The 26,481-nt window shown below is 42.9% G+C and overlaps 1 protein-coding gene across 1 annotated transcript in view, besides 2 other annotated features; it reads right to left on the bottom strand.

Annotated features, from left to right (window-relative positions):
• The window catches only part of SH3TC2 (SH3 domain and tetratricopeptide repeats 2), an 80,913-nt gene that overhangs the window by 23,952 nt on the left and 30,480 nt on the right, over window positions 1–26,481 (bottom strand). The window contains exons 9-16 of the mRNA NM_024577.4: window positions 25,453–25,586; window positions 22,576–22,617; window positions 20,759–22,453; window positions 20,471–20,651; window positions 6,483–6,633; window positions 4,169–4,291; window positions 2,750–2,900; window positions 780–976 (exon numbers count right to left, since the gene is read on the bottom strand). Of these exons, the coding sequence (NP_078853.2) occupies window positions 780–976; window positions 2,750–2,900; window positions 4,169–4,291; window positions 6,483–6,633; window positions 20,471–20,651; window positions 20,759–22,453; window positions 22,576–22,617; window positions 25,453–25,586 (2,674 nt within the window). The remainder of the gene's footprint in view (window positions 1–779; window positions 977–2,749; window positions 2,901–4,168; window positions 4,292–6,482; window positions 6,634–20,470; window positions 20,652–20,758; window positions 22,454–22,575; window positions 22,618–25,452; window positions 25,587–26,481) is intronic.
• Window positions 25,020–25,189: an enhancer, noted in NCBI's record as "experimental_82036 CRE fragment used in MPRA reporter constructs". NCBI's record gives its function as "activates a minimal promoter by MPRAs in K562 erythroleukemia cells, with activity observed for both the introgressed and non-introgressed 5:148410769 or rs79031600 variant alleles {active_cell/tissue: K562}" and the evidence as "EXISTENCE:reporter gene assay evidence [ECO:0000049][PMID:34662402]".
• Window position 25,105: a transcriptional cis regulatory region, noted in NCBI's record as "Neanderthal adaptively introgressed variant 5:148410769 (GRCh37/hg19 assembly coordinates) or rs79031600 in the experimental_82036 CRE". NCBI's record gives its function as "modulates activity of the experimental_82036 enhancer by MPRAs in K562 erythroleukemia cells {active_cell/tissue: K562}" and the evidence as "EXISTENCE:reporter gene assay evidence [ECO:0000049][PMID:34662402]".

The raw sequence follows: 26,481 nt of genomic DNA on the forward strand, positions 1-26,481 counted from the left end.
TACAAAAATTAGCCAGGTGTGGTGGTGTGCACCTGTGGTCCCAGCTTCTGAGGAGGCTGAAGTAGAAGGATTGCTTGAGCCCCAGATGCAGAGGCTGTAGTGAGCCAAGATTGAGCCATGCTACTCCAGCCTGGGCTACACAGCAAGACCCTGTCCCAAAAAAAAAGCAAGCAAGCAAAAAAAGAAGTTCTAGATTCAGCAAGCAAGAGAAGCAGGGATAAAACCTTCTTAAGATCTAAGTATACTTAGTTTAAAGGCCCCATACCTCGTTATCTCAAACATGTTAATATGCACCCACATTTCTCATAAAATGTAGCTTTACATTACTTTATAAGAAATGAGTTGCAGTTGACTAGTTGGTCTGTAACATTTTATGGACAAACTCTTAAGTATTCATTTTGATCTTCATTTTAGACCTTATAGTTCTTTTGTTTTGGGGTCTTGTATATTTCCATAGGCCCTTGAGAGACTTACAGGCAATGTGCCTGTAGTATCTGACAGATAAAGAAGCCACAGACATGGTGGCAAGGCAAGGAGAAAGAGGAACCATGGTCTACTCCTCAGCGAAGATGGGAGCACCTTTGAGATCTTCAGCAGGGTTAAGTGGAAAGAGCTTCCATGTCCCCTGTAAAGCCACTCCTCACCCTATGAGACAAGACTTCTCATCTTGGCACTCTGGTTTTCTCAGCTCCACCACAAAGGCTCCTCATTGTCTTTGAGTCAGGAAGGAGAATGGTTGGGTGGTGGCTGTCAGGAAATCTGGGAAGTCTGGCTCTTACCTTCAGCTGGCAGAAGGTGAGTCTGCCCAGGCGATAATACACCTTGGCATAGTACAGGGCCTCCTTGGGACTCTGCAGCCATGGTGGACAGAGGGACAGGGTCTTCAGGTAGCAGTCCTCAGCCATCTCATACATGTGCAGGGAGTAGTACACTGTAGCCAGGCGGTGAAAGGCCACCAGCTCTTGCCTCTGATCTCCTAAGAATTGGAAGACTGAGAGAGATATCCTGCAACCAACACTTTGCATCATTTGTTCACTCATTCATTCCATAAAACTTTTTGAAGGTCTACTAGATGTCAGGGACTGTGCTGGGGCATAGGAAATAAGACAGAAGAGGTGCCTGTACTCATAAAGCTTATTGTCTCACATGACAGACATTCCTTAAATAATCCCACAAACAAATGTAACATTACACATGTCATAAATGCTACAAAAGAAAATGCAGGGCTCTATAAGAGTGACTAAGTAGAGGATGGGTCAAGGTTTCCTGGAGTGATTCCCAGAAGAAAATTTTCTCCTTATTGCAGATGCTACTGTAATGCAGGATTCTGAGAAAGAATTCTTCTTAAACCCTTTTAATGGGACATGGTGACAAGTCTAGCTTGATGGAGTAGCTAAGAATTGCAATAAATCACTCTGTATAATAAATGTCTTCCTCACACAAAAGTCTCTCTCTTCAGAGAATTATCTTGGGTACCACCATGTAGCAGTCTCTCCTTGGCCCCTTTACCTACTGTCAGTCTCAGATAAGCTACAAACACCTGTTCACACTTAAACCATGCTTTAGAATGCTGGTTTCTAACGGGTCTATGACTTGTTGTTTGGTGGATTTGTTTTAATACAGAGCAATCTTTTACAGGGAACAAAGGCTTACAATCATGTCTTTGGAATATTTGCAAGGTGGCTGTGGGATACCATCTAAAAACATCACTTTTAAGCTTCAAAGAGCCAAAAGCCAAAATTAAAAAAGAAAATCTAAGAGAGAGAAAATTCTCTGATATGGAAAAATCAGCCACAGGGGAAGTACTTATATAAAGGATGCATACAACCTCCCTTCAGCTCCCATCCAGTGAGGGATAAAGAGTGCTCAGAGGAACTGCCTGGGGCCTCCAAGGCCTTTCCTGAGATTAGCACACAGTCACTCAGATGAGATCCTATGCAATAAGGAAAAAGGTAGGGAAAAGAGGGAAGGCTCTCTCAAGAATGCAATTAGACAAAATAAAGTCCGGTATCATCCACACCCGATGCCCTTGAAAATGCCCAGAAGACCCTCCTGGAATCATCACAGAATATTACATTTACCCTTACATCTAATCAAGGCTTCTCTATCAAACCTGCTTTTCTTCAAACACCAACATTCAAGATGAGGGGTTTTTAAATCTTTTTTATTCTGCCATTTATCTGTTCTGATGACTATTATTGTTTCCCACTAGCTTTTGACATAAACACAAGATATTCAGCTATGTTCTGAGTTAGGGTAATGGGAACCTGACCTTCATTTACATTTTAGCTTCATGGGAAAATGCACTTTTAACTAAAAATTAACTAATTTAAAATTCAGGGCACAGTCCTTTTGCAATGGGAACATAGCTTATGAAGAGAATAAAATATCATTTACTTTACACTTGGGGAACAACAGCACCTGTAATATAATAATAGTGTGGCACAGGCAACACTTACCAAGGACTTACCATGTACCCAGGATTGTGCTATGGCTGTTACATGGATAATCACTGGTCTTCATAACAACTACCATGAGGTGGGCACTATTTTTAATCCTGATTTGGTGATGACAAGCTTGAGGCTTATAGAAGTTAAGCAACTTGCTTAACTAAGGTCTCTCTGACAGTTGGACCTGGGATTTGAACCCACACAGTCTGACTCCAGGGCCTGCGGTGTTATTGCTTTGCTGTCTATCCTTGACTAATCACCCCTCTCATTCAACACACCCAATAGTGAAGACCACCCACCTGTGACTGTGCTGAGCCTGGCGGCCAGGGTGGCAAATTCCAAAGCCTTCTCATAGCCTTCGAGGCTAATCTGCAGCTCTGTCAGCTTATTGAAAATCCGGAGCTCAGTTCTCACCGCCTTCAACCTCCTTGCTAAAGGAACAGCTCCAGCCTAGGAACAGAAGCCCAAGGAACCTTAGTCTAGCTAGGAATCCTCAGTGCATACCATAGCTAGGAGACTTATCTTCTACAGGCAGGGGTTGGGGAACGGCAGTGGACTAAAACAAAGGGGAGTCAGCCATGTTTCCCTGTGTGCCTTTACTCAACCCTCTCTCTCCTGATCCTTGCTCATGATGTTTTGCCCAGATCTTAAAGTAGAAGAAGTAGAGGGCATTGGGCTTCCTATAATTGGGGAAACCTGGAGTAGGAAAGGGAAGCGGCTTTTCCCAAGGTCACGTGGAAAGTCGTTCCCTTCTCAGCTGTGTGCTCCCCTAGCATCCATGGTGCTATCTATGAAGCACACATGAGTACACGCATAGTGTGGGAATATCTCAAAAAGTGGTCATTTCTATGTTTTTATCATGATAGAATTTTAGGCAAATCACTTCATCTTTCTGAACCTTAGTTTTCTCATCTACAAAATGCATATGAAAATAAGCCCCTCAACAGTCAGAGACGCGTTCCCTGTTCTTCCCCACCCCTAGCTCAGTGCCTGGCACAGACTGGGTATTTGCTAGCATTTGATGACTGAATAAACAACTGAACAAATAAATAAATGAATATCTGAATGAATAAAATTTTACGATCAAATTAGATAATGAGGCTTCCTAAACTTCAGTTGGTGATGAACAACAATCACAATTTTTGACATATCTGCTTAATATCTGGACATTCATTTAATTTGTGTTATTCTTAACATCAACTCTTTTTCTTGCCTCATCCTTCGCAATAATATCTGTGAAGTCATAGGTTTGATGAGCTTGTATTATATATTTTTAATTTTAAAAAATATATTTTAATACATGCTTATTAAAAATATGATCAAACAAAAGCATTCATCTACATAACCCTTTAAATAATCTCCCACCACACCCCCAGTAGTAAATGGGAAACACTGGTAAACTCAAAAGTGTGCTGCAGACCATAAAGTACCATGCACCCAAGAGTCTGAGATGGTCTTGATCTCCTGGACTCAATTATTTTGATGTATTATCCGAAGAAGGATAACTTATCAAGCCTGAGAATGACTAAGTTTATCAGAACCTTCCCTGAGCTCCCACTAGGTTGAAGAGAGAGTGAGTAGGTGGGCACTGGACAAGAAAGAGAGAAAAATGAAATACAAGCAAGAGAGGAGAAGAGGGACTCAGGCCGAAGTCCAGCCTGACCCTTCCCATGCCCGTGCCAGGACCTGTCTCAGCAAACTGCACAGCTTGGACTTACTCGGTAGTACTCCACTGCATGATGCCTGTGGCGGGTCCCATTGAAGAACACATCACCTGCTTCTTCATAAAGTTTGAGAGCCAGCAAAGGCTCCTCTGACTTCAGGGCTGTCTGGATGGCTGCCTAGGTGGGACAGAGACAGCTGTTAAAGGCAGAGAGGAGGGCTTCCTGACCTCCACAGGACTGGCAGAGCTAAGACGCAGACCACCTAAATCAACTAATCCTCTGCTAAAGTCCCCCAAATCCTAAATGTCTTCACACTCCTAGGGCTGGTAAGAGGACTTTAGACATTCTCCAGTCTGGCATTTCCCCATCCTGTTATGAGAGATTGCTTTTGGTGGTGCTAGATTATTTTTAACAGTATATAGAAAAACATTTTGTTTTACTAGTTAAGTATTTATTTTAATGTGTTTTAGAAAAAAAAAACTAATAATGCATCCAACCTGCAACTTTAGATAGTATTGTGTAGAATAAGGCTAAGTGTAGAAAAAGCTACGTTGATTTGATGTTGAGTCAAAGAAAAAGAAGTAAACAATGGTATAGAAGGTACATGTATATAGCAAAACTATGAATTTAATATGTAAATAACTGAAATGGAAAAATAGTGATCCACTTCAACATCTTACACTTTCCAGATGGAGATAGTGTGGCTCAAAAGAAAACAGAACCTCCCCAGCTTCATGCCAATAGTCAGTGGCAAACAAATGTTGGTGTCTTCCATCCCAGTACCCTAACCTCCACAGCTTCTTTATCTCTAGCAAGCTATTTTGGATTTCATCTACACAAAATGTGCTAAGGAAGTTGAAGAGTAAAGAATATACCACTGCACCTGCAGCACAGTTACAGGACCTCAAATAGCCTCAGGTCCAGAATGATTCACTTCCATGGAATTGACCCTGCACAACATCAGTTAGGTGGCAGCCTGGGGTTGGGTGAGGCCTGGGACCAGTTCTGGCCAGTGAACATTTCATCACTGGGGCAAGATGCTGCAGTTGCTGTGTTATTGCATGGGCAGCTACAGAGAGAGAGAGGGGCAGTGAGATGGAATCCTGGAGTCAGGAGGCTTTGCCACCAAAACAATGCACAATCGGAACAGTGCCCTCTGGGCTTCAGTCTCCCACAACATGAAAGGAGAAGACTGAATTGTCTGCTCTCTGGAAACCCTTTCAGCCCAAAAATCGCAAGGCAGATGGCGTAGAGGCTGAGAGTGAAGGCTCTAAGTCACACTGTGTGCAGTTCTCAGCTCCACCACTTACCAGTTGTATCACCTTGGGCAAATTACTCAGCCTCTCTGAGCTTCCTCTGTAAAATGGAAATTATAATGGAAAATCCTACTGCGTTTATAATGAGGGTTAAACTACGTCATGCAAGTGAAGTGTTTGGCAAAGTCTCCTGTACATAGGAAGCATGCAATCAGGGTTATGCAGCTATTAAGTCTCAGTAGAAGTGAATTTGTGCAAGTTTATGTGCTAGTATAAGGAGAAGTAAAAAGAGAGAAAATAAAACATGGGAAAGAAAAAAACCGGTATATTTTTGTAGAATTAAACATCTTACATATCACCACAGTATTTAACATCGATATTGTACAGATAGTAATAAAACACTAAAATATAATGTATTAAACATTTACTAAGTTCTGAGCACTTAATAAATGCTTACTATGCATTTACTACTATGCAAGTGAGATATATAATTTTTGTTTTACTAATCCTTATGCTAAAAGATAGAGTTCAGTTCCCCCATGAAGAAACTGAATCCCAGAGATGTCATATGGCAAGCCCAAAGTCACACAGTCAGTCCATATGTGATGGCCCTGGGATTTGACTCTAGGCTTTTCTCTCTTCAAAGCCCAGGCTTTTAACCACTACACTGTACCACATCTCTGATATTAAAAGTATGCAAACAAACAAAAAAATAAGAGAATAATATTGTTAATACCCCACATACACACCAACCTTGCCTCAAACTGCAGCAAAACCCTAAAGTCAAGGTGTATGTTGAGCTTTGGAAAGACAGGTATAGTTAACGGGACAAGTGACGTTACAGATGGTATGTGAGACTCCCCTCACATCCTCCCAGGGTGCACACATGTGTATGGGTCTCAGCGACTGGCCCTTTGCTCCCTGTATTCAGCTTGTCAGACCACCCTGGTTTCCACCATGTGTTCAGGGAGCAGCCCAGTGTTGACCCTTTCTCCACAGGCTTAGGGTGAACATCATCCCTCTCTGGTTCCCCCTGGTTGATTTGGAGGGTACAGCTGCCTCCCCAAATGATCCAAGTCAACAACTCCCAGAGAGCTCTGCAGGAGGCCTACCTGCAGGCACAGCTCCACCAGCTCGTCTTCCTGCATGAGGTAGTGGAGTCGCCCCGCCCCAAGCCAGGCCTCAGCAGCCTTGTCTGTCTCCCCCAGGTCAATGAAGATACGCAGGCTCTCCTTGATGCATGTGAGTGACCTCCTGAGGGACCTGGGGACAGACATGAACTTGTGAGGTGTGAAGGCTCAAAGGGGCCTTAGGGTCCACTCAGCACAGGATGAAACAGAAGCTCTGAGCAGGAACAGCCATGTCCCACATCACACAGGGAGGTGGGCCTGATTGAATGCCAGCTCTACCCCAATCAGCTGTGTGACTTTGAGAACGTACAGGATCCTTCTGTGCCTTGGTTTCCTTATCTGTAAAACAGACCTATAATTGTGCCCACCTGAGCGGATTGTTGTGAGGATGAAATTGAGATACAACTAAGTGCTTAGAACAGTGCCTATTACGTCCTTGGCACCTGATGAATGTTTAAAGATCACTTATAATTATTATTATTATTACTGATGCATGGTCCATCAACCCTTTTACTGCTCTATAACCTTTTTTGGTGTTATGCTATTGAAATGGTTTGGCTGTGTCCCCACCTAAATCTCATCTTGAATTGTAGCTCCCATAATCCCCATATGTCGTGGGAGGGACTCAGTGGGAGGTAATTGAATCATGGGGCCGTTACCCCCATGCTGCTGTTCTCATGACAGTGAGTCTCATGAGATCTGATGGTTGTATCAAGGGTAGTTCCCCTGCCATTTAAGATGTGCCTTTGCTCCTCCTTTGCCTTCAGCCATGATTGTGAGGCCTCCCCAGCCATATGGAACTGTGAGTCCATTAAACATCCTTCCCTTTATAGATTACCCAGTCTCAGGTATGTCTTTATTAGCAGCATGAGAATGAACTATTACAGTTACTAATACAAAATAGACACCAAATGCATACCTATTGAGTGAATGCATGAATGAGTGACAACAGTGGTAACTTTAAATCATCGAAAAGATTTTGATGTTTTGTTTATAAAGAAAAATCAAAGTAGAGTGAAAGTTTTAACAGGTTGGTGCTTAATGGGGTGCCCTTTAATTATTTGGAAAATTGTATTTTGTAGAAAACTCTCCCTCCATGTCAATGGAGGGACCAATGAAGAAATGAGACATAGGTAATATATTTTCTCACAGACGATTCAGTATTCAAAAACAAGGAAGGAACACTGTGCATCATCTAGATAGTAGTTCTCAGTCCTGGCAACAACTAGAGTCACCTGGAAGCATTTTAAACGTGTACACTGCCACACTATTTCCCAGTGTGTTGCAACTTTATGATAGCCTGAGCACCAGGGTCTCGGAATATGGCTCAGGCACAAGCACTGTGTCTAAGCTCTCCATGTAATTCTGTCATGCAGCTTGGCTTGAGACTTGCTGATCTAGTCCAATCTTCTTATTTTATAGAGGAAACAAGCCCAGAAACTGGAAATAACTTACATATGTTTGCACAGTACATTAGGGGGAGATCCAAGGCCAGAACTCCCTTCTTCTGAGTAGCAACCTAGGACTTGTCCCATAACACTCATACTTCCCAAAACATGATTTGTGGCCCACCTGCATCAGCATTTCATAGGGAGCTTATTCAAAGCACAGATCCCCCAGAGCTACCTCAAATTGACTGAAAAAGATTCATTACAGTTGCAATCCAGGAACCTGAATTCCTAAGACACATCCAGGTTACACTCCTGCACACCAAAGTTTGAGAACCACTGCAGTAAACCATGCAACTCTTCCCAGAAATACCGATCATCATCAATCACATCTATGGACACTTAAGTAGAAAGTCCTCAACAAACGTGGTTACCACTTGATTATGGACCTCTCAGCCACCAGGCCCCTTTGTGCACCATGAGGGAAACAAGCATTGCTCTCAACTCCTAAGGCCCGGATCCTTATTGGCAATGAGGCAGCTGTTGGCCTTCTGGAGAGAGTGCCAGGCATTTGGCCCTTGTAAGAAAGAAAAAACCCAAGCTTTCTCTTCCTCCCTGCTCTTAACATGAGATTTATTGACATCCCAATGGGCGCTGGCCACTCTTTCTCAAGTTTTAAAATGTGAAACTTCCTCTGAGAATACAATGAGCTGAAAAACTCCACACCATGCTGCAGTGATCACCAACCTCCTCAGCTCAGCTACAGTAACCACAGGCATCTTTCACTATAGGAAGCCCTGCCTTTCTCTCCCCACTCTGTACCCTGCAAACTCAAGCCGGGTTGAGATTCAGCAGGCCTGGCCTCCACAACTCTCCTCACTCTCACTAGAGCAGTTGATGAAGACAAGACCCATAAATCTCATCCTCATCCTATTTCCTGCTCTGTTTTTTTATGTTCCCATTTACTGTCCTGGGATGCCCTTGGGCTACTATAGTTGTTTTCTCCAGACCTTCAGGGAACAAGATTTAGGTTATTACAGACAGGCCAACTGACAGAGCCAGCATTTGCTTCTGGCACTTTCTCCCTCTGAGTTCATTATGACTGTGGAAGAGAGGAGATCTCTATTTCTTTCCAAGAAATGCCCCATCAGGGGAAGACAAGACTTACAGAGACCTAGTGGCTCACACAGCACCATTGAGACTCCTTGCAAATGGAAGATTTTCCAAAGACAACTGACTCTCACCAAGACTTGCACATGATCTATGATCTCCAGTAAAAAAACAAGTGCTTCTGTGGTCTAAAACTGGGCAGTAGTCCAGCTTCCTTGGTTCCTTCCTATCACCACTCACCCCCATTACTTTACATCTGCCAGTGGCCAAGCAGTGTCACCTACCAGTTGAGCACCAGATGGCCCAGAATGCCAATTCCTCCAGCCGCCACCCACAGACTCTAGGTTTGGTTTGGCTTCCAAAGCCAAAGAAGCATGGAGCACTGCTGGTGGGCCAGCACTGCATCAGCCTTGTGTATTTCTGGTTCTCCTGTGCCTGTGTTCCGGCATGTTATCTCCTGTCCTTTCCAATCTTGACTCTTCTCTTTCTCTCATTTTTCCTGTCCTCAAGTTCAGTCTCTGGGGTTAAGTCTTTGTTTCTTCTTCCCTGCCTGAACATCAGCCATAAGCCCATGGCCAAGTGACCCCAATACACCTGCATTTCCAGACTTCCTCTTACCACCCGCTGCTGGGGCTTCCCAGGTCCCTGCCCTGCCTGGATGAGTCTGTCTAACCTCTGGCCAAAGCCCAGCCTCCACTAATTGGTCATGTCCTGTTTTGATGACAAAGATGGCCAAAAACTGAGGGCTGACTCTGTGTGAGGTGTTGGATGTGTACTTTCAGTATACATTTTCTCATTTAATCCCCATAGAAATCCCAAGCCATTAGAATTCTTAGCCCATTTTGCAAATAAAGAAATCCAGTAGGATGTTGTTGTTTTGATTTGTTTTTTGAAACGTATCTAAGTTTTCCTGCACATTTCTAAAGCCTTATTTTGAGCTCTCAGCTGCTTTGTCTTATAAAAGTAACAATGGTAGTATTATTACCTGACATCTATTGAGCACTTAGTATGTACTAGGTGCTTTACACGCAAAATCTCATGTAATCATCACAACAGCCCCAAGAGATCAGTACTATTATCATATTCATTTTACTAATAGAAAAAAAATAAGGCTTGGTAAGGGTAACTATCTTGGACCAAGTAATAAGCCCTGTTTAAACCAGGATCTAACTTTCAGAGTCTGACCCAGAACCCTTACATTTACACCCTCCAGCAGTGCCGAATTTCTGGCTCAGATATTAGCACTTGGGAAGACTTTTGTTTCATTTACCACTTTAAAAGTCCTGAAGTTTTAAAAGACATAAGCTATTTTAAACCTTGAACAAAGTTTTCTCATGTGTGAAACTGGGGTGGTAGTGTGCATTATAGCCTTGTGATCAGATGATGACATTTCAGGAAAAGCAATTCTTTCCTTATTTACAACAAAAATGAGAAAAGAATTGCTTCTGTGTTAGGGATTAACATATTAATTATATATTTTAAAACGTAGCACTTTTTTCAGTTCCAGAAAAATAAGAAGCATAAATGTAAGAATAAAAGCCAGACGGCTGGCGCGGTGGCTCATGCCTGTAATCCCAGCACTTTGGAAGGCCGAGGCGGGCGGATCACGAGGTCAGGAGATCGAGACCATCCTGGCTAACACGGTGAAACCCCGTCTCTACTAAAAATACAAAAAATTAGCCGGGCGTGGTGGCGGGCGCCTGTAGTCCCAGCTACTTGGGAGGCTGAGGCAGGAGAATGGCATGAACCCAGGAGGCGGAGGTTGCAGTGAGCCGAGATCACGCCACTGCACTCCAGCCTGGGTAACAGGGCGAGACTCCGTCTCAAAAAAAAAAAAAAAAAAAGAATAAAAGCCAGGAGCAATGACTGCTAGGCTACTGTTGTATTCACATGCAAAGAATTAATCATTATTTTGAGAGGACCTATTATATGCAAGGCATCCCTTCTTTCTAAAAATAATAATATGCACATCCTTTGTGGCACTTACCACAATTTATACGATAACTTTAGTGGCTATTTATACGTTTATTTTCTGTACTATTCTGTTATCATTGTGAGCTCATGGACTATTATCACCCTTGTTCAGTTTTTAGCACAGTGCCTGGGCCATAGTAAATGCTCGGTAAATATTTGTTGAATTGATTTAATAGATTTAATAGAGCCACAGAGTTCTCATGGACCCCATCCGGCTCAGTTCTATGGCCAGTCTGTGTTGTGTCACCTCAAGACAGAAGACAAGACTCCCTAAGATCCCTCCCATTGAGAGACTGCAAACCTTTATCAAACTAAATTCTGTAGTTGTCCCCTGGAAGGCAGAGAAGGCATGATCCTGCAGATATTAGACAAAGGGACAGAAAAGTGTCCCAGAGTAAAAACCTGAAGGCTGGGACAAAGTTTTCACTATCTACCTGTGTGCCCCCCGCCCCACACACACACACCATAACCCACTTCTAAACCCTAGAGAAAATCTTTCAAATAAAAGAAATTAAAATCAGTAAAAAGGCAGCATAAGATCATAAATTGAGAAGTCAAGGATCTGAGCTAGTACCAGTGAAACCAAGTGGTGAAATTGTCTGGACTCTCTGTGGCAGGCAGGGAACAGACTGATGAAAAACGAGGCCCCTCCATACAATTCTACAAGGTTTCACTCTATAGCCTTCCACACCTATTTCTTTTGCCTAGGGCAAAAATTAATAGCTGGGTGGACAGAATACATAGAGTGCTTAAGACTATGCATTTTAGATCAGGAGTTGTTAAACTATGGCCCATGAGCCAAATACAGCTTTCAATCTGCTTTTGTAAATAAAGTGTTATTGCAACACAGCCACATTTATTCACTTATGTATTATCTATTTTCATACTACAACTGCAGAGTGGAGTACTTGTGGCAGAGATCATATGGCCCACAAGGCCTAAAACACTTACTATATGATTCTTTATTTGAAAAGCTTGCTAACCCTGCTCTAGATACACACTGTTTGGATATCAATCCCTGCTGGGAAGGCTCATGCAAGTTGTTTGGCTTCTTTAGTTCTCAATTTCCACAATTCTTTCTACGTCAGAGGGTGGTCCTGAGATTTATATATGGCTTAGTAAACAATGCATGCTCACTGAAGGCTATTATGGCCATAATTTTCACTATGGATGTTCACTGTACAGGTCTGGATACCCATTGCAACCCCCCGCCCCCATGCCCACCAACCTCCATATCTCCTTCTAGGGAAGAAGTTGAGTCTTCTTTGCACCTATATTAGTCCATTTTCCCACTGCTGATAAAGACATACCCAAGATTGGGTAAATTATAAAGAAAAAGAGGTTTAATGGACTCACAGTTCCATGTGGCTGGGAAGGCCTCACAATCATGGCAGAAGGTGAAAAGCACGTCTTACATGGCAGAAGGCAAGAGAGAGAAGGAGAGCCAAGCAAAAAGGGTTTCCTGTTATAAAACCATCAGATCGCATGAGACTTATTCACTACCATGAGAAGAGTATGGGGGAAACCGTGCCATGATTCAATTACCTCCCACCAGGTCCCTCCCACAACACATGGGAATTATGGGAGCAATAATTCAAGGTAAGATTTGGATGGGGATACAGCCAAACCATGTCACTACTCATAGCCAGCTGATCACCAAAACCTGTCTGTTAAATCTACAAAATGTCTTTCAAATGTGTCCTGACCTCTCCATGGCTACTGCTATTCCCTCCACCTAAAACCTACCCTTCTCCACTTTTCAAGATATTACTTATCCTTCAAGGGCCTCCTCAAATGCTACCACCTTGATAAAGTCTTCCCTGACAGATCACCCCCATCCTTTGCTGAAAGCATTGTCTCCTTTCCCTACAAACCTCCCCCTACAGAAGCCTGCCACTTCTTCCATGAACACTTCCTGCCTTTGCTTGCTGTGGCTTTGAGCTTTGTGAGAATGCAAATCCCTAGAGGGGAATTTAGTTGAAGAAATCTGTCCATTACATCAAGACCCACTTAATAAATTCCTCCTAAGCAATCTGTGCCAGGAAAAAAATTGCTCCAACAGATACATGTGTTTATGTTCTTTTGTCAGACAGTGAGAACCTCATACAGCTTTCCCCTTTTTACTCAGCTACCAGGAAGCTTAGTACTAAATTACAGTAACCACCCCCGGGTGCATAGAAACACCCGTTTATCTGTGTCTGTAGTTGGTCTTTGTTCTTGTATTTTTTTTAATGTTCTGTAGGAGAAGGTGATTTATACATGCTAAATAAATATAGCATTACAGCATGTTCTCTTTGTTGAACTGGTCATTCTGCAAAGGGACAATGACCTTATGTGTACAGGGGTTTCCTCTGACACCTAAAATATTTCCCAATCTTCCATTCAATATCACTTATATTAGTGGTAAAGCAAAAGTGGATATTTATTTCCTCCCAATTGTACAAATAGGAATCTCAGAGTTTAAAACTATAAACTATTCAAATTAAAAATCCTAATCTAGATCAATTTACAGAACAATGGAATAAAAATTTCCAAAAGTTTACTCCTCCATAAAAGCAATGAAAACAGGCAAAAATTATCCAAATAAAATGTTTCAGAACTCTGGATATTAACCAAAGGTTTGCAAGGAGTGTTTATTTAGGAAAACGGCGGAATCTTGTTACGAAAGTGAGCTTCATTGCTTTTCAACTTGCCTTAGAGACATCCTGCTTGTCCCTAGCTCTGTGGTACACTTAAAAACCAACAGCCTCACAATAATGGTAGCTGGAAAAACCAGCAACCTAGCAACCACTGAAGGAGACAATGAGCTTGAAATACCCCAAAGTTCCATCCCCAGAGAACTGTTACTGTTTGATCTGTTTGGAAGTTCCCTGGAAGCCTCTGCTCACAGGGCTTGTTTTCCTTTAACCTCACTCAGAGCTCACTCAGCGCAGAACAGCCTTTTCCCTGAGGCATATGTCAAAAATAATTAGTAGCAATTGTTTAATATGATCACTGCCTTAGGTGGTGAAAACATGTGGAGCAAACAAGAAAAGGTCAAACACACACACACACACACACACACACACACTAGGAAAAGTTGGGAAATGAGATGTCCATAAAAAGTTTTAAAAGTTCTGACATATTCCTGGGAATCTAGAAGACCACATGCATGTACAGGGCTGTGAGCATGATCAGGAAACTGCTAAGATTTTTATTTTTAAAAAATGTTAATTATTACCCCAGGGTAACCATTAAGAAAATAACTGAAAGAAATACAGGACAAGAAATAACAAGGAAATTAAAATAGTATACAAGAAAAAATCTATTTAACACAAAAGAATGCAGTAATGGAGAAATAGAAAAACAAAAAGATATAAGCTATTAATACAGAGAAAAAATAGCAAAATTGCAGACAAAAATCCTACCTTACCTGTAATTAAATGTAAACGTATTAAACACTCTAGTTAAAAGACAAACATTGAAGAATGGAGAAGAAAGAAAATGTTTCTACTACATGCTGCCTACAAGAGACATACTTTAGATTCAAAGACACAAATAGACTAAAAGTATAGACCACATTAACAGTAACCAAAGAGAGCTAGAGTGGCTATGCTAATATCAGATAAAAAGACCAAAATTGTCATTAAAGACAATGAAGGACATTTTATAATGATAATAGACTCAATCCATCAGAAAGGCATAATTATAAATATATATGCAGCACCTAATAACAATGCCCCAAAATACATGTAGAAAAAGCTGACAGAATGGAAGGGAGAGATAGACAACTCAACAACAACTAGAGGTTTTAATAACACACTTTCAATAATGGATAGAAGAACTAGACATAAGAACACCAAGGAAATAAAAAATTATAATTAGACCTAAAAGATATTTATAGACTACACCAAACAACAACAGAATACACATTCTTCTCAAGTTTACATTGAACATCCTTCAGAATAGACCATATGTTGGGCCACCAAACAAATCTCAGCAAATGTAAAAAGAATAAAATCATGCAAAGTTTGTTTTCCCACCACAAAGAAATGAAATTAGAAATCAGTAACAGAAGGAAATTTGGAAAATTCACAAATATGTGGAAATTAAACAACATACTCCTAAATAACCAATGAACTGAGTAAGAATCACAAAGGATATTAGAAACTACTTTGAGATGAATGAAAATAAACACAGCATACTGAAATATATAAAATGGCGTAGGCACAATACTCAGAGGAACATTTATGGCTGTAAATGCTTGTATTAAAAGAGAAAAAAATCTCAAATCAATACCTAATATTCCACCTTAAGACACTAGACAAAAAGAGCAAAGTAAACCCAAAGCAAACAGAGGAAAGGAATTAATAAAGATGAGAGCAAAAATAAATGATATAGAGAATAGAAAAAAATCAATAAAGCCAAAATTTAATTTGTTTAAAATGTTTTTTTAATGACAGATCTCTGGCTAGTCTGATCAAGAATAAAAAGAGAGAAGAGTCTCAGGAATTAAAGTGGACATTACTATCAACTTTATAGAAATTATAAAAAGGATTATAAAAGAATAATATGAACAATTGTATACCAACAAATTAGTTAATTTAGATGAAATGGACAAATTCCAAGAAAGACAAAAACTACCAAAACTGCTCAAGAAGAAACAGAAAATCTAAATAAACCTATAACAACTAATGATATTGAATTAGCAATTTTCAAAAACAAAACAAAAAAACTCCTTACAAAGGTAAGTCAAGATTTAGAAGTCTTCACTGGTGAATTTCATCAAATGTTTAAAGGAGAATTAACACCAATCCTTCACAAACTCTTTCTTTTTTTTTTTTTTTTTTTTTTTTTTTTTTTTTTTTTTTTTTTTTTTGAGACGGAGTCTCGCTCTGTCGCCCAGGCTGGAGTGCAGTGGCGGGATCTCGGCTCACTGCAAGCTCCGCCTCCCGGGTTCACGCCATTCTCCTGCCTCACAAACTCTTTCAAGAAATTGAAGAGGAAGGAATATTTCCCAACTCACTCTATGAGGGATCAAGAAGTGAAATGACAACCCATGGGCTGGGAAGAAATATTTGTAAATCATATATCTGATAAGGGACTTGTATCCAGAATATATAAAGAATGTTTACAACTCAAAAATCAAAAGACAAACAACCCAATTTAAAAAATGGACACGTGAATAGACATTTCTCCAAAGATACACAAAGGGCTAGAAGCAAATGAAATGATGCTCAATATCTTTAGTCATTAAGAAAATGTAAATCAAAACCACAATGAGATACAATATCACTCCCACTAGGAATGGCTAAAATAAAAAAAAGACAGACACTAACAAGTGGTGGTGAAGATGGGAGACATTGGAACCCTTATGCCTTGCTAATGGGAAAGAAAAATAGTGCAGCCACTTTTAAAAACAACCTAGCAGTTCCCCAAAAGTTTAAATATAGAATTATGGTGTGACTCTGTAATTTTGCTCCTAGGTCTATGCAAGAGAACTGAAAACACTTCTTCACACAAAAATTTGTTCATGAATGTTCACAGCAGCATTATTCATAATAGCCACAAAGTGGAAACAATTCAAATGTCCATCAACTGATGAATGAATAAACAAATGTAGTATATCAGTACAACAAAATATTATTCGGCCATAAAAAGTAATGTAGTATTGATACATGTGACAACATGGATGAACCTTGAAAACACTATGCTAAGTGAAAGAAGCCAGACACAAAAGGACAAATACTGTATGATACCATTTATATCAAATGTCCAGAATAGGCAAATCCATAGTGACAGAAAGTAGATTAGTGGTTTCCAGGGTTGGAGTGAGGTTGGGTAATGAGGAGTGGGTAATGAGGAGGCTTTCTTTCAGGGGCCATGAAAATGTTCTGAAATTAAATAGCAGTGATGGTTACACAACTGTGTGAATATACTGAAAACTAAATTTCATACTTCAAAAGGCTGAATTTTATGGTGTGTAATTAAACCTCAATAAAACTGTTAGTAAGTAGTTCCAGATCCAGCTCAATTCAGGAAACTCTTTTGTAAAATTTTTGAATAGTCGGTCTCTGTTTGAATACTTGTAAAGGCAACAAGCTCACTCTTATGTAGGGCAGACTGTTCTGTTTGTGGGTATTTGGATTGTTTTTTCTAACCACTGAATTCCCCAATAACTACCACAGTGCCTGACACAATGGAAGGGCTCCCATAGTGTGATAAAATGTTGGATTGACATTTCACAGTGATATTTTTAAACGAGAAAAGCAAAGAACAGAACAGTATATTATGTAATAGACATTTTATCATGATTCCATTTATGTAACTAAAACGTGCATATTATATTTAATATCTAATATTTATTTAAGATAGAAAATATGTATCATATATAAACTTTAAAATGCATGAAATATTCCTTGATGGGTATTTAAAAATCTTTAAGTAGTTACTTCAGGAAAGTATCAAGGAAAGGGAAGTTGGAAGGGGACCTTTATTTTTCACCTATAACCTTCAATAATAGTGTAATCCTTTTTTTTTTTTTTTTTTGAGAGACAGTCTCACTCTGTCACCCAGGCTGGAGTGCTGTGGTGTGACCTCGGCTCACTGCAACCTCACCTCCTGGGTTCAAGCGATTCTCCTGCCTCAGCTTCCCAAGTAGCTGGGATTACAGGCACCCACCACCATGCCTGGCTAACTTTTTTGTATCTTTGGTAGAGATGGGGTTTCACCATGTTGGCCAGGCTGGTTTTGAACTCCTGATCTCAAGTGATTCACCTGCCTCAGCCTGGTTAAAAAGGTGTAATGCTTTTTAATCTTAAGCAACTACATAATTTTAGAAAAAACTATGTTCCTCATGAAGTAGAACATCAAATCTCTGATATTCTACTTCACTATATGTAATTTGGTTCTTTATCAGAGGAGAATCCTTAAGAAAAGATGCACTGTGTTCTGTGGCTAATACTATATAGGCCAGTGTTCTCAAAGGGCTGTTGGAATGGGAAGCTGAGGTTCCACTCACGGCACTGTGACTACTGTGCTTGTCACTAAAGACCAAAAAGCCTGCCTCCAAGCTGCAAACACCTTTCTTTCCTTACCTGAGCCCTGAGCAAAGGAGCCAGGGACTCCTCCACACAAAGCTCCACCATTCTCTGTCATAATCATCAGTAGCCATGTCAGCATATAGCTTCAGCTCAAGGGCTGTGAGCTAGTGAACTAAGTTACTCTCTAATGACTTGGCTACCCCAAACACACATGCACCGTATGTCTCCTCCATGCCAAGCTCTGTGCTAGACATAATGTCTGCCCACAAGACCTTCTGAACATACTACAAAGTCTTTCAAGCCCTAAAAGCTTAGGTCTCTGATTTCAGAGGCACCCTAGAAAGCCCACAACTTTAAGAATCTGCACCAAAAATTCAATACACTTTGGAGGCAGCAGGAATTCTAGTATGAATATTCAGTGTCAGAATAGCATAGCTAGCTGGTCCCAGACTCAACGTTTTACTGGAAGGTATCTGATTCAACTTATCTTTACAGATGGAAAGAGACCAAGAGGAAAAGTGACTTATTTAAGGACACATTATTAGGTCATGGCAGGATCAGGTTTCCTGGCCCTAATCCAGTTTTGATTGCTTTCCTCCCAGCTCTGTGGCTTCTGACTCCCTCCAGTAACTTCTTGGGCCATCTGTAGACCCACCCCTGACCTCCTCTCCACCATCCCCATCACATCAGGTCAGTGATTCTGCATCCTGTCTTAACTAAGGCCTCTGTGGTCCATGCTGACAGCATCCAGGGCCTTCTCTCTGGCTTCCCCCTTAATATTTCAGTGGGTTTAGGCATCTGGAGTGGGGAGCTGGTGAGTAAAGGATGGCAGTGGAGTAGGTGATGTCTGGGAATATTTAAGACTGAGCTTGCCCAGTAGCCAGAGGTGCCAATAGCCTGACACATATTTGGCACTCTTGCTCCTGTTCCTTAGAATCCAACTTTTCCAGAGCCCAGTCCTACAATACCTCACCATGAGCATATGACTATGTCATCTCAATAGTTAATTCAAGCCTGCCTTCTGGATCTTCTCCAGAAGCATCCAGACTCCTAGGGTGTCCTAGAATGAAAGCAGGGTGGAGCTGGGGCCTCCTGACTCCTCACATGCTGCATGGATCCAAAGCTCCCTCCCTGGGACTGAAGGCAAAGACAGCAGGAGGTTTGGAGGACACCTGATTCTTACAAGACAGGGAAAGAATGAGGGAGAGTGAGAGGAAGACAGACTGGAAGAGAAAGAGAAGGGGGAGTGGAATTCATTATCTGATTATTCCTTATCTGATTGTCCAGGTGCACACAGTTACCATGTTGCTTAGAAATGCAAAAAAATATATATATAGTCATTTAATTACCCTCTCCTCAACAACCTCTCTCTCTGCTTAACAGTAGCGATTTTAGAAGCTATTCTGAATGCTCTATTTTAGAAGTCATTTATAATTATGAATGCAATACTGCAAAGCAAATCTGTTGCAAAGTGAACTTGAAGATCTTGCAAACCACACAGGATTTAATGGAATCAATTTAAGGCTTGTTACAGAACAGAACTTCAGTCTGCCCTCTGGCAAATGAGGATGAAGCAGCATTAGACCAGTGAAGAAACAATGAAGAGAAAACCAACAGAAGATGGCAAAATCTTCAAGTGATAATAATGTGAATACCAAAGGGTTAAAGGAGGTATTTGGGTTAAACTGTTAAGTTTTGATTTATTTTTACAAAAATGAGGATTTTTAAGGTAGTCCTAAAAAATCAATCACAAAACAAAGAATGCTCCATTGTGCTGTTACATCATTTTGTCAGCACAATTAAGCCAAAAAGTCAACACTCCTTTTATTCCATGTTTATTCTAAGACTTAATGCAAAGTTGAAATTGTAATCTAAATATTCTTAACTAAAAGGTGAAAACACACTTCATTTCATAATCTACAATTTCATTTTAAAGGTAAGTTCCCGATAAAACTTTTTTTTACCATGACATTTTACACCCCTGCTTTCAGTGGGGGTGACCTTTCTTTAAAACCAGTTGCCCTTGGCAATGAAGACCTCCTGAAGGTTCTTCTGTCCTTGGTATAACTGCCACTTCTCTGAATTATGCAGCCTCAGTCATGATCCTGTGACAGGTGGTTATAGAAACACACAAGTAACAGTGGCATTACTGAGACCTATCTATGTATCAGGCACAGTTATGAGTGTTTTATGAGCATTAACTCATTTATCCTTCACAATAACACTATAAGATAGATGCCATTATTATCTTCCTTTGGCTGATGAGGAAACTGAGACATGGAGAAATTAAATAGCTTGCCCAAGGCTACACCACTAATAAGTGATGGATGCATTGTGGTGGCTGCAGAGCCCTTGCTCTTTTGCACAAAGCCCCGCCTATACCATGTACATTTGGACTTGCTTCCTGTGGGAAAGAACACTGTTTCTCCTTAAGGAAGGAAAGCTGCTTCTAGGACAGTTCCTGACCCTGACTCACCTGGCGGTATTTAGGTTCCGATAAAGCTGCCCCAGGGACTCCAGCAGCCTCCCTTCCATCTCCCGGTCCCTGAGTTGCTGAGCCAGGGCCAGCCAGTGCTCATGGTAGGTGATGCATGCCTCAGGGTTTGGGGACACAGAGCTGTAGAAATGGCAGAGGGATTTGGTGGCCTGAAGCTGACCTGAACACAAAGCAGGGACATGAATGAGATGACTTGAGATAGGAAATGGATAAAACTTGATCCAACACTTTTCTCTATAGCTTCCCAGCAGCATGGGACATACTTACTCTTTAGATGTCGATGCCTTAAGCCAAACAGCAATGCCATTTCATAACAAAGAAGGCCATGGGTCAGCTGGTGTCCAGACACCAGAACTTGGGCCAACCAGAGAAACACCTGTACTAATTCCATGTCTGTCTCCTTACTGGCCTGAAGTTCACAATAGAGTCGTACAGCCTGCAGGAGATAGTTTCTGGCTGGATGCTGAGCCCAGGACTTAAGGCTCAGGTGGCCAAGATTGGCCATAGCCACTGCCTGGTTATGCACATCTCCCACCTCCTGGGCTCTGTTCAAGGCCCGAAGATAGCTCTTGGCTGCCCTGTTCACCCGGCCTTCACCTTGGAGTGCAAGTCCCAGGAGGTTATAGATGACTCCCCTTTGAGTGAGACTCTCTGTCTCCTTCAGGGAGCATAGCAGTGGCTCAAGCACATCCAAAGCCTTCTTGGCCTGGCTGGCTAAGAGATAGGCCCATGCCAGGCAGAGAGAAGACTCAAAGGATTCCTGCTCACCCAGCAGCTGCCCTAGCACCAAGGCCTGGCTCAGGTAGTGGATGGCACCGTCAGGAGACCTGTGCTCGAGGTACACTTTGGAAAGGATGAGACACAGGGCCCTCTGGGTGCTCCGGTCTGCTAGTTCCTCACAGGCAGCCAGGGCCTGTCTGAGCATTGGGCAGGCCAAGGCAGAAACTTCACCCCAGCCTGGGGAAGGAAAGCCAAGGAGCTTGGTTGTGTTCTGGAGGACAAGGTGGACCTGCCAAATAGGAAGAGACATCCCTTGGGCACTCTGGATACCATGTTGCTGGACAGAGGCCACTGCAAGGTGTGGAAGATATTTCTTGTCATACAGAAAACTCAAAACACTGGCCACAGCCTCAGAGGCAGGAGGGTGTCCAGAGAGGAGCTGCAGGCGCTCGGCAAAGGGCAGGACCTCCTCGTGCCGGCCTAGGCTCAGGAGCAAGCGGATGGCCAGAAAGCAGGCCCTGGCCTCCAGCGGGCTGCTGCCCACCACAATCCCCTGGCGCAGCACGTAGGCCACCACGTCGAGTTCATGCTTGGCACTAGACTCACGGTCAGGCAGGCAGGCCAGCAGGGCACCTGCCTTTTCCAACAGGGCGGAGCCTTTATGTCTCAGCCTCTGTTTCAGGTAGATGGCAGCCAAATTGATGTACAGAGTGGCCACCAAGGATAGGTCCTCAAATGCTCCATTGAGAATGTGGATGGCCTCCTCGAAGTACACCCTGGCCTGAGAGAGTTTGACCTTCCTGATGCTCAGCCGGCCCAGGAGGAAGCAGAGACGGGCATGGGCCCAGGTCATGTGGCTCTTCTTGGCCCACTTTCTTGATGCCTCCAGGTAGGCCACAAACTCATCCTCCTCAGAGAAGCTATAAAAGGAAGAAGTGAGGAAAGAGAAGGAGAAGTCATAGAGACTCTTAAAGTGGTCAGCATAACCCTCATGATCCAGAAAAGCCAATATGGGGGCGAAGTTCTCAGCCTCCTCCTCCTGACCAGTGCTTAGGTCCATGAGCAGTTCCGGGTCATCAAGGTCATCAGGCTCCGGCAGGCGATAGCTGTCTGAGGTGGCCGAGAGGAGCTCCTCCTCCAGGCTGGAGTCCTCAGAGCTGCTGGACTGTCTGGACCCCACGGCCTGATGCTCCTCCCAGGCTCTGCCAGGCCTGACCTCCTTGAAACCTTCAGGCTGGGATGCTGTAAGGACAGGCAAAGTTGAGCAACCTTGGGCACCTGCACCTAAGGTGGCCGCTCTTGGCAAGAGGACAGAAGTGCTGTCCTCAAGGATGAATGTCAGGTTCAGCATGATCGCTACTCACCACTCAGATCATTTGGAGGATTCTGGATGGATTCAAACCCACCTAAGTAGAGATGAAGAACAGGTCTGGTGTTAGGTCAGGATGGGCCACCATGCCCATGCCTCCAGGTGTACCCCAGATCAGTGGCCTCTTAGGAGCCTTGGCATTCAAGACCTTCAGTCATCATTAAGGAACAGGGCAGAATTATCCTTTCACCCATCATCTTAAGAGCTGTAGGGGCCTAATCATCTTGTTTAACCCATGCACTTTACAGTTGGGAACCAAGGTATACGTGAAACTCAGAGTCCGAGAAGAAAACCTGGAAACACAGGCTCTATGTCAAGAGGTATGGGTACTGTAGGGGGGTGGGGGGTGGGGACAGTGGGGGTCCTGATAGAATCTGAAGATCAGAGAGATGCAGCTCCCAAATCTCTCAGCGAGTTCACGATGGAGCCAGGACACAACTCCCAGCACAGAACACGTGGGAGCACATGGTGCTGCCTCCCACTTCTAAATGTATCACATCCTTCCTTCTTGCCTCCTCCATTCATTCATGATTCATCCACTTGGCAGACATTGGTTCCATGTGTCCACTGGGCTGGACACTGTGTTTGTAAAAGTGGCAGGGGCGAGGGGCCAGAAGTGAAGGGCGAATAAAAAGGAGCAAGGATGCATCTGAGACTGAAGTAGAGGATGGGAGAATCTGGAGTGCAGTTTTAGACCTTTGGGGTTTGAGGTAGCTGCAGGAGCTCTAGGCAGATAATGATGTAGGTCTGGAGCCAAGGAGAAAAACTGAGACTTTGCAAACACAGGTTTGTGACCCAAAGCAGGTCACAAATTGCTGGCCAGAGTCCCAGGACTAAATGTAATCACACAGGTGAGGCATCTGGGGGAAAAGAAAAGCAGCAGGGGAGTGAGGGAGTGAGGGAGTAGGGGGAGTTTGTTAATAAGCCTGGGCAACTCACTGGCAGCCAGTAGCCAGTGAGGGAGACTGAAAAGGCACAGTCAGAGAGAAAAGGGGGTTACAGAGGCCAAGGTGACTTAAAACATAACCACCTATTGCCACCAAGTGCAACCGGACTAGGTAAGAACCAAGAAGACACCTTGGGTTTGGCAGTGAAGAAGTGACCACTGTTGGCTAAAGCAACCACAGTGGAACTGTGGAGGTGAAGGCTAGCTTCACACTCCACAGGATGGTAGCTGCTAGAGGGAAGATTCTACCTCTTCTTAGCAGAGAAGTAACAACTGTCTGTGCCACCACCCTGAGTTCTCTAGTGAACTTTGAGGACCAGCAAGCCCCTCACCAAGTCAAACCTTTTCCTGCTGTTCTCCAGGATGGCATCTCCAGAGATTGTCATTGCAGAACCTCCAGATCTGTAACCCCCAGAGGGTAGAAAGCCCCGCAGCTAAAGATGAAGAGCTATAGAGCTTGGCTAAGGAGAGCTGTTCAAATGCCCTGGCCTCTCTGATGTGGAGGGGTACACGCCCCTCTTGGGCCACCTCTTCTCTTCTGGCCAAGAGTATGAGTGATGCGCAAGTTACAAAATGGTGTCCCCTCTCTAGGAGGAAGAATTACAAAGGGCCATCCTTCCCTATGGTATACGCCTTGGGGAAGCTGCAATTTACCAACAAGATGTTCTCCTGCTGCTTGTCTTGGTGCTGGGGCAGCCTGCACAACCATAAGGTGCGGACTGCACGCCGCAGAGCTGCACTCCTGATCTTTGAGTGAGAGTCAAGTGCTGTCTGGGGCCTCCTCTTACATCCTCCCCACCACTGGACCAACAGCTGGCAGAAATCATGATCCAAGTCTGTGCCCAGGCCTTCTCCCCAAGGAACACTGCTAGTACACCTCAATTTTCAGACATCAGGCTCCCGCCTACTGGGCAGTGTTTACAACTCTAGCTTCCTGCTCAACCTCATAAGGCAATATGATCTGCTTGTGGCTTGTGGCAAGAAAGCTCTGCTAGGGCAGGGTGCTTATGCCTGAGGCATGTGCTTTCACAAACACTCTTTATGCACGGACATAGCTCTCAACTCCCTGCTCTACTCCTGGGAGATGGCCTGAGGGCCCCTTCAGCAGAATCTCTAGCTGTATCCATAAAATATGGATCATCTAATCTGGCTACACAAGAGCGGACACAATGTCACCATCAATGAAGAGATGGGAGAAACAAAAATTCTTCCTCAAGTCACCATCAATGAGAAAATGTACTCCCTGACACACAACAGTAGGCCTTTCTCAAAGTAAGAGTATCATTCATTCAGTCAGTCAGTCCTTCAGACACTGCTCAAAACCAGTCAGTTTGTCAGAGGAATCTTTCACAATTGTTGAGATCTGATCCCATGACACAGAAAACATCCAAGACTAACACACCCAACAACTCAAAGTCATTTTGTGTCAGGGGCAGTGTGGTAAAGTGGATTGCTCTGACTAGCAGTTCTTATCCTAGCTCAGGCACTAATTCGTTTAGGCCTGTTTCCCAATCTGTAATGTGAGACAAGAAATCATCTCTTAAGGCCTTTTCACAGCGGTAACATTTACAGCCCCACCCATCTCACTGGGGGCTTACTTCAGTCCTAGAAGGTACCTCAGCCAGGACTCAGGAAGTTCTCCTCCCCCAAGATTAGGAGGGAAGACCCAGTACAGCCAGTCACCCACGGTATAGGTGAGTTGGTTTCATCATGTCTCATAGTTCCCCTGAAACCCCAGAATTACCTGAAATCTAAAGTGAAATGCTGCTAATCAAATATGATTCAGGTCGTCAACAGAATAGTGGTCATGGCCACCCAAATTCATGAATAGGATTAGAATTTAGGGGTATTCTATTCCTGGTTAGGGACACTATCTTATTCTTGAGGACCCCAGGCTTTTGAAGGTGTCTGAGGACCAACACTCACTGAGCCGGTAGACAGATGTGATGTCAGTGCGAGCAAGAGTGTGGAGGAAGCTGGAACACTCAGTCTGCTTATCACTTCCCAGGGCCAACAGGGAGCATCTCTCCTCATCACTGAGAAAGGCAGAGTTCCTGCTCCTGCATCGGGGCAAAAAACACAGAGACAGATTACTGCAAGGCTTCAGACTCCATCTCCTCTTCTCTCCACACTAGGATGTAGTGGAGGATGCAGAAAAGTCATCAAACCAACTTCCCGCAAATGAAATTAGATTCCTCATCTCACCATTGCATACTGTATTTATACTGCCAAAAAAGAAGAGCTACTAGCACATCATGCTGGGAGAACTGAGGGGTGTGGTTGTCCAGTAGGTCAAAGTGGGGATGAAAACACCCCTTCTCTTAAAACCCCATCTCCCAAGAAAAACAAAGCCCCTTCTCTCAACCTCTACCCATTCTTTGAGACACCATGGTACCCATTTTTAATGGAAGAAAGAGGAATCAATTGCCCTAAATGGAAGGGTTGAAAAGGGACCATTAAAAATTTTATTTGTCCTTAGGTTACTTCAAGAAAAAGCAAGGGACAAGTGACACAATCTAGAAGAACAATGAAGAAAATCTGACCATGGTCAGAGGAATCTTTCACCATTGTTAAGGTCTGATTCCATGGCATAGAACAACAGTTTAGTCAACATTAAGAGGATTGGAATCGCTAAGGGAAAGAAGTGGGTAAAAGGAAGATTAGGGGAGCTGAAAGAAATCATTATAAGCAATAAAGATCTTGATACTCATGCTGTTGTGTAAACTAACTGTTAAGCCTAATTTGCTTACTAGAGATTTGTTATAGAATTAAATAATAAAAAACTAGAAGTGCCTTAGAAGCTACTGGGTTGCATCTATCTAAACAATTTTTTAGGCCACTTTTAGTTCTAAATAGAGAATGTTTTAATGTCAGAACCCATTTTGAAAACAAAATTAACTTGGAAGCCCAGGAGTTAATAATAGCTAATACTTTGGGAGGAAGTGGTATGAAGAA

The sequence above is a fragment of the Homo sapiens genome, chromosome 5 (genome assembly GCF_000001405.40).
Source record: "Homo sapiens chromosome 5, GRCh38.p14 Primary Assembly".
NCBI lineage: Eukaryota > Metazoa > Chordata > Mammalia > Primates > Hominidae > Homo > Homo sapiens.